Raw genomic sequence first — 12541 nt, 5'->3', positions numbered from 1 at the left:
TATCATTCCTTCTTGCATCTCATTCTTTCTGGATTCCATTTTCTTTTTCCTGAAGTACATTCCTTAGTGTTCTTTCAGCAACTATCAATGACAAGTTCTTTCATCTCTTCGCATGAAAATGTTTTAATTTGCCTTCTCTCTTGAATGAGTTGGGTATTCACTTCTAGGTTGACAATAATTTTCCCTCAGCCATGAGATGTTATTCTATTTATTTATCTATAGACAGGGTCTCACTCTGCCGCCCAGGCTGGAGTGCGGTGGCGTGATTGTGGCTCACTGCAGCCTCAACCTCCCTGGACTCAGTGATCCTCCCACCTCAGCCTTCCTAATAGCTGGGACTACAGGTGCATGCCACCACATTCGGCTAATTTTTGTATTTTTTGTAGAGATGGGATTTCATCCTGTTGCCCAGGCTGGTCTCAAGTCACCATGGTCGCTGATCAGATTATTTCCTGGCGTCTCTATTATTGCTGTTACAAAGTCAGTTATCAGTTTTATTGTCCTTTTTTTTTTTTTTTTTTTTTTTTTTTTGAGACAGAGTCTTGCTCTGTTTCCAAGGCTGGAGTGTAGTGGCACAATCACAGCTCACTGCAGCCTCAACCCCCCTGGACTCAGTGATCCTCCCACCTTAGCCTCCTGAGTAGCTGGGACTACAAGTGTGTGCCACCACACCCTGCTCATTTTTGTGTTTTTAGAAGAGATGGGGTTTCACCATGTTGGCCAGGCTGGTCTTGAACTTGTGACCTCAAGTGATCTGCCCATCTCAGCCTCCCAAAGTGCTGGGATTACAGGTGTGAGCCACTGTGCCTAGCCAGTTTATTGTCCTTCTTTGTAATATATATTTTTTCTCAGCATCTTTAAAATGTATTAAAAGACTTTATCTTTGACTTTGGTGTTTTGAAGTTTCACTAAGTTACGTGGGACAGTAGGTCTATTTTACTTTTCTAACTTTGTGAACATAGTGATCTTTGAATCTGGGGTTTATGTCTTTCACCAAGGCTAGAAACTTTTCTGCCCTTTATCTCTTCAAATTTCTTCGTTTTTATTTCTTTGTTTTATTTTATTTTTCAGAGACAAAGTCTTTCTCTGTTGCTCTGGCTGGAGTGTATTGGCACCATCAGGGCTAACTGTAGCCTTGACCTCCCAGGCTCAGGCCATCCTCCCACCTTAGCCTCTCAAATAGCTAGGACTACAGGCTTGTGCCACCACTCCCGGTTAATTTTTAAATTTTTTTTTTGTCGAATTGGGAGTCTCATTATGTTGTCCAGGCTGGTCTTGAAGTCCTGGCCTCAAGTGATCCACAGATGCAAGCCACTGTGTGCCTAGCTCATCTCTTCAAATTTCTCTCTCTTTCCTTCCAGAATTCTCTTCTTTCCCTCCAGAATTCCTATTAAAATATGTTTAAACTTCTCGTGTTGTCTTTATGTTTCCTAATCTCTTCATTGCAATCCCTTCTTTTTATCTCTCAGCAATATTTTGGGTCATTTTCTCATCTGCCTCCTAGCTTGATAATGATCTCTTTAGTTTGGTCTAATGGGTTGTTTTGCTCGTCTTTTGTGGCTTTGAAGTTCCGATAATTCCTTTTCACTTCTAAAATTTCTTTCTTTTTTTTTTTTTTTTGAGACAGGATCTTGCTTTGTTGCCCAGGCTGGAGTGCAGTGGCACAGTCTCGGCTTACTGCAACCTCCTCCTCTCAGGTTCAAGCAATTCTCCTCCATCAGCTTCCCGAATAGCTGGGATTACAGGTGCCCGCCACCACGCCTGGCTAATTTTTGTATTTTTAGTAGAGACGGAGTTTTTCCATGTTGGCCAGGCTGGTCTCAAACTCCTGACCTCAAGTGATCCACCCACCTTGGCCTCCCAAAGTGCTGGTATTACAGGTGTGAACCATCATGCCCGGCTAACTTCTAAAATTTCTATTTGATTCCTTTTAAGATTTTTTCTGCAATCTTCCTTGTTTTTTAAATAAGGTCTTATTTTCTTTGGGTTTTCTTTTTCTTTTTTAATTATTTTTTTTAATTTGGCTTTCTTCATACCAGAGGTTGTGATTTTTTTAAAAACATGTTTTTAATAATTTTAAACATAATTATTTTATTTTCTTCCAGTTTTTTTTTATTGTCTCAAGTTTTGGTACTTGTGTTTACTGACTCTCACTTATGGTGGAATAATTCATTGCTTTAACAATTTTCTACAGTAGCCCATCTTTAGTGGGGGCTGTGTTTTCCTTGAAAATTGTCAGTGGCTTGAGTTGTAGAAATATTCTTTCATAAACGGGCATTGGCTTTGCAAAGAGCCATGGGACCCAAGGATATTGCTAATCTCACATTATTTTATGTTAATTTTTCAGCCGAGGTTTGGGGGTTAAAGTTCTTGGATTCTAAAATTTTTACACCGGACTGGGTGCGGTGGCTCACGCCTGTAATCCCAACACTTTGGAAGGCTTAGGTGGGTGGATCACCTGAGGTCAGGAGTTTGAGACCAGCTGGGCCAAAATGGAGAAACCCCGTCTCTACTAAAAATACAAAAATTAGCCGGGTGTGGTGGCCGGCACCTGTAATCCCAGCTACTCGGGGGGCTGAGTCAGGAGAATCACTTGAACCCGGGAGGAAGAGGTTGCAGTGAGCTGAGATTGTGCCACTGCACTCCAGCCTGGGCAACAGAGCAAGACTCTGTCTCAAATAATAATAATAATAACAATAATTTTACACCAGATCTGAGTTGAGGTAATTAGGCCCAAAGTTTTAAAATTCAAATAAATAAATACGTTTTATTTTCTGGACTCCAAAGTCCAGAAAAGAGGAAGATAAGCTTCCTAAGCATCTTTCTGACTTGGTAGTAGATACATTTCATGCTGGTCCACTTTTTAACTCAAAGATCTCAATTTATTCACCTTCACCTCCCTAACCTTTGTGGATTCAAGAGTTTATCTCTAGTCCCTTTGTAGCTTCTAGGACAGCCACAGGATTATCTGCTGTGCTCAGTTTTCCATTCCTTCTTCACTCTGGCACTTGGAGATTCTCCTTTATAACTTGTGAGTTTAGCTACTCAAGAGAATTATTGTTGTATTTTATTTAGCAATTCTTTGAACGTAGGGGTAGATTTTCCCAGTCCTCTTATTGAAATTGGAAGGCTTGACCTTGTTAAAGGATGATTTTCACTTTTTTTTTTTTTTGAGACAGGCAGGAATGCAGTGGCACACTCTGTCACAGTGGCACTGCTCTGTCACTCAGGCAGGAATGCAGTGGCACAATCACGGCTCACTGCAGCCCTGACCTCCAAGCAATTCTCCCCCTTCAGCCTCTTGAGTAGCTGGGACTACAGGCATGTGCCATCACATCTGGCTAATTTTTTATTTTTATTTCTATTTTTATTTTTTGTAGAGATGAAATTACCCCCAAAGGATGAAATTACCCCCAAAGGGAAAGTGGACCACCTACTTTGAGTCCCTGCCCCCTTATCCTTCCTCGCTGGCTCCCAACTTGGCTTCCTATGCAGGACTTATTTGTTCTGGCTGTTAGATCTGTTCTCAGACAACAAATTCTACCTCAATCCTTCACTTTTCACCTGAGTCTTTCAGAACATCATTGGTGATGTTCAGTCACAGGGAGACTGAGAGTTTGTACGAGGGGAAAAATTTTTTTTTTAAAAAGTGAAATTAACACAGAGAATTCACTATGTTGTCCAGGCTGGTCTCAAACTCCTGGGCTCAAGTGATCCTCCCGCCTTGGCCTCCCAAAGTGCTGGAATTATAGGCACGAGTCACTGTGCCTGGCTAAGGATGATTTTCACAGAGGGGTAAAATTATGACTCTATACAGATATAAAATGAACATGTGTTAAAGATTTTATTTAAGTCATTATAAATGAAGAAATAGTAAGATGTTAAACAATGAGTTCAAAGGAGAAGTCAAAGAAGCACAAATTTATGTGGAGCAAAGCAATACTGAAATGAATTTACAAATGGATGGAGAAACTGACTTTTTCAACAGGGGGCAGAAAATTGGATCTCTAACAAAATGTCTTTGTAAACAACACTAACTTTGCATTGTTATCACTTATTGACAATTTACAGAGTTGTAAAATAATTCAAAAGCAATGGAAAGGTACAATCAGATAACCTGAAAGGTGGGTTCTAAATAGTGCTTAGTTTTCCATTTGAGATACCCAATAATCTTTTTTGCTATTTCCAAATGTTCTAACCTTGGATTTTATAGGAATTTTTCCGAGAAGACTTTGTTATATTTTTTACCTTCATAGTGAAAGAAAACAGTATTTTTTCCTCTATCTTTTGCTCAGTTGATAGAGCCAAACTTTGGAGTAGGAGTCAGGGATAAAGCAAAGGAACTATAGTCAGGTACTGTATAGTAATGTTTTGGTCAACATTTGACCACATATATGACGGTGCTCCTATAAAATTATAATGAAATTGAAAAATTCCTATTTCCTAGTGACATCATAGCTGTCATAAGCCATCGTAATGTCATAATGCAATGCTTTAACTTTTCTATGTTTATATATATTTAGATAAACAAATACTTACCATTGTGTTACAATTGCCTGCCACATTCAGTACAGCAACATGCTGTATGGGTTTATAGCCTAGAAGCAATAGGCTATACCATGTAGCCTAAGTGTGTAGTAAGCTATGTTATCTAGGTTTAGTACAGCATAAGATGTTTACATAATGGTGAAATTGTGACGTATTTCTCAGATGTTCCTGTTAAGTGACACCTGACTGCACTTTAACATCATTCTTCCCATTTTCTCCAGAAACTTCTGAGAAACTCTAAGGGGCCATTAAATGAACACTTGATTCTAGCCACTGTCAGGGAGTTACCTATTAGGTGCTTTATCTATTTATGGAAGAATTGGTGATGGGCAGTAGGGGGCTATTGTTGATTTCTGGAATATGCACAGAGTATAAATATTTTAAGGTTCTGGGAACAGAAAATCCATTCTTCATTGACCTATGCCAAACAGCTCCCTGTGAAATGCATTTTGGAAACCACTGCAGAAACTTGAAAGATGAAGTTACATTCAGGATTTTCATCTAGATTTCAAGGTTGGGCCTTATCACTTTTGTTTCTAGGAAGGAAGATTCAGCAGATTTTGCTCCTATATTATCAGAGTTCTGAAAACACTTTGAGGACACCTCTGTATGCCCAGTCCAGGGAACTCTAAAGGCATTAGAGGGATAACATGTTTTGAGATGGGATAAAAGGCAAGAGAGATGACCTCTTCCTCTAGCAGTGGGCGAGCAGCTGGCTCTGCTTTTCACTGATTTTATGGCTTTGTCTGTGAAGGAACAGCAGTGTTCCACAGAGAGGCGCTTGACTGAGACAGTTGCTGTTACTGAGCAGAAGAGAGCCAGGGGGTGCAGTAAGATGTGGAAAGCATTGTTTCCTCTAAATGTGGGAAGAAATGAAAAACTTACAGGGGAGAAAAGACTGTAGTATACTTAAAAAAGAATACTTAAGTAGAATCTGAGGAGTGGATAATAGGTTGAAGGATATGTGCATATTATAATCAGTGTCATGTAGTTCCTGTAAATTAATTTCATAAAGCTTATATGGAAACAAGGTGACTTGGTAACATGGAAATCAATAATAAGTGAGAAGGGCAGGACATAAAATATGTGTACTGATATATACATACTAAAATGGGAAAAGAATATGAAAATATTAGCTTGGTGGATTTTTTTGTGATAGGGTTATGTGGGTGTTTTTTAAAAATGTAAAATATATTTGTTTGTTTGCTTGTTTTGAGACAAGGTCTCTGTTGCCCAGGCTGTAATGCAGTGGTGTGATCAGCTCACTGTAGCCTCTACCTCCCCAGCTCAAGCAATTTTCCCACTTCAGCCTTCGGAGTAGCTGGGACTACAGGTACCAGCCACCACACCTAAGTAATTGTTTAACTTTTTGTAGAGATGGAGTCTTGCTAAATTTCCTAGGCTAAATTGTTTCTATTTTGATTACTGTGTCCATAAAAATAATTTGATAATTTTAAAAAGCGAAACTAAAGAGGAAAAACATGTGTTTGCTTATTGCTGTAATTATTAGTTGCAAGCTTTCACATTTTACCTTTATGTATAACCCTGAAGTGTATTAAATAATATATGGTGTCAAATTACTTAGGTAATGGTAGGAAGCACCTACTATCCTGTGGCAAGATAATTTTTAGACTTGTTATTTGTGTTCTCTCCAAATTTCGGTTCCGTAGGGCTTTCAGGAATGTTGCAAGATTCAAAGAAGAAGCAACCACAATTCAAACGTTCTCCCGACCTCTTGTAAAAGCCGGAGAAGCGAGGAAACCCGGCATTGTTGAGGGTGGGAGAGCGGAGCTGCCAGCTGCTGGTCCCCTGGAGCTGGGGGTGGCGCGGCCGGGGTTTGGGGCGACCCTTTGGAGGAGATCGCCGGTCCCCCAGCGAGGTGTGGAGGATGAGAGCGCCTTAGGACCACCGCGAGCGACCACCCTGAAGAAGTCAGTGGAGGTCGTGACAGACTGCAAGCGAGACCCATTCCATTTCCATCTGTGCTGCAACAGCGGAGAAGGAGAGACGACACACGACCTAGATCACTCCGGGAGGGAGGGTCTGAATTAAGGTGATAGTCCGAGTTTGTGACCTGAGATTCATACTACAAACCCCGCGGAGAACAAGGAAGAGGACCGAGAGCTTTTGTCCCGTGCTTGTGAGCTGAAGCCAGGTGTTTGAAGTGTTTGATCTTCTAGAAAGCCCTTGCCCACCTAAAGTAATTGGGTACAGCTGAGGTTCTCAAACTTGAGCGTGCACCACAATCACCCGAGAGGTAATTAAAACCTGGAGTGCACTTTGGGATGCCGAGGCGGGCGGATCACGAGGTCAGGAGATAAAGACCATCCTTGGCTAACACGGTGAAACCCTGTCTCTACTAAAAATACAAAAAATTAGCCGGGCGTGGGGGCGGGCGCCTGTAGTCCCGGCTACTCGGGAGGCTGAGGTAGGAGAACGGCGTCAACCCGGGAGGCGGAGCTTGCAGTGAGCCGAGATCGCGCCACTGCACTCCAGCCTGGGCAACAGAGCGAGACTCCGTCTCAAAAAAACCCCAAAAACAACAACAACAAAAACACCTGGAGTGCTGGGGACCCCATTCCCAGAGTTTCTGATTCAGTGGGCCTGAGTTGGGGCCCGAGAATGTGCATCTCTAACAGGTTCTCAAGTGAAGCTGATGCTGCAAGTCCCGGAACGGTGCTTCGACAACTGGTGAATGCTATGCTTTTCAGATACTTTGATATCAAACTTTTGCATGGCTGCAGCTACCTAAAGTGGCGTGTCAGTTTTACCAGAGGTTACTTTTCACTTAATATTGGCTTGGTTTATTTTCAGATTTAAGAGTGGAGTGTGTTATTAGTAGATCCATTTACAAGGCTCATTTGGAGGAAGCTGTTCCGGTGCTTTCACTTACTTTATAGATGAACATAATTTTTGGAGATTTCCATGATATAGTTAAAACTATGTCTTGGTCATTTGTGTGACCTCTTTCAGTTTATGAAGTTTTCATCTATGTTACCTGGTTATGGTATTGCTCTTAACGTAAATATTTTAAAATATGTCTTTGTGTCTTTTTAGCAGCACTCCTATGAGGTAGAGCGATTGTTTTGCTTTTATGGTGTTAGTCACAGATCTAGGCTTAACTTCACATTGTTTCCCAGTGAGTATATGTGCAGGTAACATCATAAATGTTATAAAAAGGGTGTGGTTACTGCATAATGAGAGGAAAACCCAGGCAATACAAAGGAGTTTTAATTATATGACTCTCTGAGACTTCAAGTACGTAGGCCTGCCCAGCTTGCTTCCTGGGAACCCTCCTTCCTGATAAGCCTTCAATTGGAAAGAGAAAGAGGCCTCAGCCATAAAGGAAAACCTTTTTAGAGGGGTTCTGAGACCTAAAGGTCCAAGTTCTGGCATTCCCTGAAGCCACAAGGTTTCTCTGCCTCAAGGTTTCTCTGAAATCAGTTAGTGACAATCGAAGGCAGCCATGAAGAGGAAAAGTTAAAAATATGCAGACTATGTGGCCCTGGAGAAGAGGAGAGAAGCATTTTGATCCAGTTTGCTTCAGTTATAGGGAAGCTCCCAAGCTAACTAGATTGGTGGGATAGTACTTTTTATTTTATCTATACAATTTTTGTTATTGTGCTTGAACTTACATAGTAAAGTGAACAAATATTCAGTGTACAACTAAATGAATTCTTTAACATAGATGTATTCACAAACATACATACTCACACTCACTCTTGTACCCACCTTCCAGATTAAGATAATAGAGCATTCCCAAAACCACAAAAGGCTGCCTTATTCCTACTCCCAGCCAATACCCCAAAAGGTAACAGCTGCTGACTCTCTTGCCGTTGAATGGTTTTACCTGTTCCTGAACTTTGTATAAATGGAATCATACAGTATGTACTATTTTGTGTCTGGCTTCTTTCACTCAACACTATGTCTGTTAAATTCATCTACACTGTTGCCTGTAGCAAGAGTTTGTTCTTTTTCACCTCCAACCTGATCACCCCATTTCCCCAGCCCCAGGAAACCATTAATCCACTTTCTCTCTATAGATCTGTCTATTCTGAAAATTTCATATAAATGGAATCACAATATTTTGTCCTTGTGACTGGCTTCTTGGCATGTTTTCAAGGTTCATTCATGTTGTAGACTACATTAGTACCTCATTTCCTTTTATTGCTGAAAAATATTGAGTATACCACATTTTATTTATCCATTCATCAGCTGATGGGCATTTGGGTTGTTTCCACCTTTTGGCAATTGTGAATAATGCCGCAATGGACATTTGTATACAAGTTTTTGTGTGGACAGTGGAAATATGTTTTCATTTCTCTTGGGTATATATGTAAGAGTGAAACTGCTAGATCATGTGGTAACTATATTTAACTGGTTCAGGAGTTGTCAAACCATTTTCCAAAGCATCTGCACCGTTTTACATTCCCACCTGCCAAAGCCAGTCATTAGCATTGTTTCTATAGATATTAAATTAACTAAAAGTATCCCTTATGGGAAACGAAGGGATGGGCTGAATTAAAGGAATAGGTTGGGCTAGTTAACTGCAGCAGGAGCATGTCCTTAAGGCACAGATTGCTCATGCTATTGTTTGTGGCTTAAGAATGCCTTTAAGTGGTTTTCTGCCCTGGGCAGGCCAGGTGTTCCTTGCCCTCATTCCGGTAAACCCACAACCTTCCAGCATGGGCGTTATGGCCATCATGAACATGTCATAGTGCTGCAGAGATTTTGTTTATGGCCAGTTTTGGGGCCAGTTTACAGCCAGATTTTGAGGGGCTTGTTCCCAACACCCACCAGGAGTGTATGAGGATTCCAATTTACCCACATCTTCACCAAAGCTTGTTATCTGTCTTTTTTATTTTAGCCATCCTAGAAGGTGTGAGTGGTATCTTACTGTGGTTTTGGTGTACATTTTCCTGATGGCTAATGCTGTTGAGCATCTTTTTGTTTGCTCATTGGTTATTTGCATATCTTCTTTGGAGAATGTCTCTTTAGATCATTTGCCTGTTTTTAAAAAAATGGGTAGTTTGCCTTTTTATTATTGAATTGTAATAGTTTCTTATATATTCTAGATATAAGTCCCTTATCAAATATACAATTTGTCAAATTTTTATCTCATTCTGTGAATTTTCTCTTCACTTTATTTTTTAACTTTGATTAAATTAATTAATTCATTTAGAGACAGGGTCTTGCTCTGTTGCCCAGGCTGTAGTGCAGTGGCGCAATCATAGCTCATTGCAACCCCAAACTCCTGGGCTCAAGTGATCCTCCTGCCTTAGCCTCCCAAGTAGCTGGAACTACAGGTGTGTACCACCATACCTGGCTAACTAATCTTTTCACTTTTTTGATAGTGTCCTTTGATGCCCCAAATTTAAAAATTTTGATAATGTTTACCTTCTCTAATTTTTCTTTTGTTGTTTGTACTTTTGGCATCGTATGTAACAAACCCAAAGTCATAAGATTTATGCCTATGTTTTTTTTCTAAGAGTTTTATAGTTTTAGCTCTTACATTTAGGTCTTTGTTCCATTTTTGAGTTAATTTTTGTATGTATTGTAAGGTAGAGGTCAAATTTCATTCTTCATGTGACTATCCAGTTGTCTCATCATCATTTGTTGAAGACTATTCTTTTCCCATTGAATTGTCTTGGCCCCCTGTCAAAATCAGTTGAACATCATTGTGAGAGTTTGTTTCTGGACTCTCACTTCAATTCATCTGTAGGTCTAGCTTTATGCCAGTATCACTATCTTGATTACTGTAGCTTTGTTGCTTTGTTGAAAGTTTTGAAATCAGGAAGTTTGAGTTGTCCAACTTTATTCCTTTTTTTTTTTTTTTTTTTTGAGACAGAGCCTCGCTGTCACCCAGGCTAGAGTGCAGTGGCACAATCTTGGCTCACTGCAACCTCCACCTCCTGGGTTCAGTGATTCTCCTGCCTCAGCCTCCTGAGTAGCTGGGATTACAGCGCATGCCACCACACCCGGCTAATTTTTGTATTTTTAGGAGAGATGGGGTTTCACCATGTTAGCCATGCTGGTCTCGAACTTCTGAACTCAAGTGATCTGTCTGCCTCAGCCTCCCAAAGTGCTGGCCCAACTTTACTTTTTATCAAGATCATTTTGGCTATTCTGGGTCCCTTGTAATTCCATATGAATTTTTCGATTTCTACAAAAAAGCCATCTTGTATTTTGACAGTGATTGCATTGAATCCATAGATCAGTTTGTGGAAACATTGCTATTTTAAATTAAATATTAAATCTTCCAATCCAAGAAAATAGGATACTTTCCATCTAACTAGGTCTTCTTTAATTTCTTTCAACAATGTTTGTGTTGAGTGTACATTTTTGTTAAATTTACTCCCGAGTATTTTATTCTTTTTGATGTATTTGTAAATGGAATTGTTTTCTCAATTTCATTTTCTGTTGGCTCAGTGCTACTCTGTAGAAATACAATTGATTTTGTATATTGATTTTGTGTCCTGCTACTTTACTGAACTTTTTAATTAGTTCCAGTAGTTTTTTAGTGGAATCTGTAGCATGTTCTACCTACAGGATCGTACTGTCTACAAATAGAGAGAGGTTTACTTCTTTCCAATCTGTATGCCTTTTACTTCCTTTTACTTCTTGCCTCACTGCTTGGAGGCTAGAACTTTCTGTGTAGTGTTGAATAGAAGTGTTGAAAGTGGACATCTTTGTCTTGTTCCTGATCTTAGGAAAATAGCATTTGTCATTCACCATTAAGAATGATATTAGCTGTGGGTATTTTGTAGATGTCCTTTATCAGGTTGATGAAATTCGTGTTTGTTGTTGTTGTTTTTGTTTATAATCAGTTTTAGCTTGCTGAAGAAAGTCCACTTCTATTCCTAGTCTGTTGAGTGATTTTACCATGAAGAGCTGTTGAAGTTGTAAATATTCTTGTACATTACTTTTTGGGTACATATTAAGTACTCATTTCTGTTGTGGCTATAACCAGGACTGGAAATGCTGAGTCATAGGGTATGAATAAGTTTAGCTTTGGTGGACATTGTCAAACAGGTTTTTGTTTGTTTGTTTGTTTATTTCGAGACAGGGATCTGGCTCTGTCACCCAGGCTGTAGAGCAGTGGCTCGATCATGGCTCACTTCAATCTCTGCCTCTGGAGCTTGAGCCGACCTCCCACCTCAGCCTCCCAAGTAGCTATAACTACAGGCACGTGCCACCACACCCAGCTAATTTTTTTTTTTTTTTTTTTTTTTGAGACGGAGTCTTGCTGTCTCCCAGGCTGGAGTGCAGTGGCGCGATCTCTGCTCACTGCAAGCTCCACCTCCTGGGTTCACGCCATTCTCCTGCCTCAGCCTCCCAAGTAGCTGGGATTACAGGCGCCCACCACCGCGCCCGGCTAATTTTTGTATTTTTATGTAGAGACGGGGTTTCACCATGTTGGCCAGGCTGGTCTCAAACTCCTGACCTTGTGATCCACCCACCTCGGCCTCCCAAAGTGCTGGGATTACAGGCGTGAGCCACCATGCCCGGCTAATTTTTGTATTGTTTTGTAGAGGTGTGGTTTCACCATGTTGCCCAAGCTGGTCTCAAACTCCTGAGCTAAGGTGATCTGCCCGCCTCAGCCTCCCAAAGTGCTTGGGATTACAGGCGTGAGCCTCTGCATCTGTCAGTTTTCTAAAGTGCTTGTACTAATGAACACTCCTACCAGCATCTTATGAGATCCCCAGTTGTTTCTGCAGGATGCTGCTTTATTAAACCACTCACTAAGGGTACCATCTCCTCACCTTTGCCATAAAAATTAGGGGACAACTGCATGCCCAGCCAGCACTATGGCTACGGGCAGTGGTTCCCATACTTTCACAAATGCAGGAGTAGCAGAGTCAGCACTTCCATGGGCGCTTTGGTGGGAGTGGTTAGTAGAGTGGGGAAAATGAAGGGTTTTAATCTTTGCCAACATAAGATGTGAAAAATAACACATTTTTGTTTTCAATTTTTTAAAACTATTAATGATATT

General features: G+C 40.6%; 3 annotated features.

Moving 5' to 3' along the window:
• Positions 5881-6381: an enhancer, noted in NCBI's record as "H3K4me1 hESC enhancer chr3:150238385-150238885 (GRCh37/hg19 assembly coordinates)". NCBI's record gives its function as "activates a minimal SCP1, AML or CMV promoter by ChIP-STARR-seq in primed H9 embryonic stem cells {active_cell/tissue: H9 hESC(primed)}" and the evidence as "EXISTENCE:reporter gene assay evidence [ECO:0000049][PMID:30033119]".
• Positions 6382-6882: an enhancer, noted in NCBI's record as "H3K4me1 hESC enhancer chr3:150237884-150238384 (GRCh37/hg19 assembly coordinates)". NCBI's record gives its function as "activates a minimal SCP1, AML or CMV promoter by ChIP-STARR-seq in primed H9 embryonic stem cells {active_cell/tissue: H9 hESC(primed)}" and the evidence as "EXISTENCE:reporter gene assay evidence [ECO:0000049][PMID:30033119]".
• Positions 11858-12014: a silencer, noted in NCBI's record as "fragment chr3:150232752-150232908 (GRCh37/hg19 assembly coordinates)". NCBI's record gives its function as "represses an EF-1alpha promoter that drives an FKBP-Casp9 reporter gene in an ReSE screen in K562 erythroleukemia cells {active_cell/tissue: K562}" and the evidence as "EXISTENCE:reporter gene assay evidence [ECO:0000049][PMID:32094911]".

This window comes from Homo sapiens, chromosome 3 (assembly GCF_000001405.40).
Source record: "Homo sapiens chromosome 3, GRCh38.p14 Primary Assembly".
NCBI lineage: Eukaryota > Metazoa > Chordata > Mammalia > Primates > Hominidae > Homo > Homo sapiens.
The sequence above is the reverse complement of the archived record's forward strand: the minus strand, read 5'-3'. Positions and strand labels throughout refer to the sequence as shown.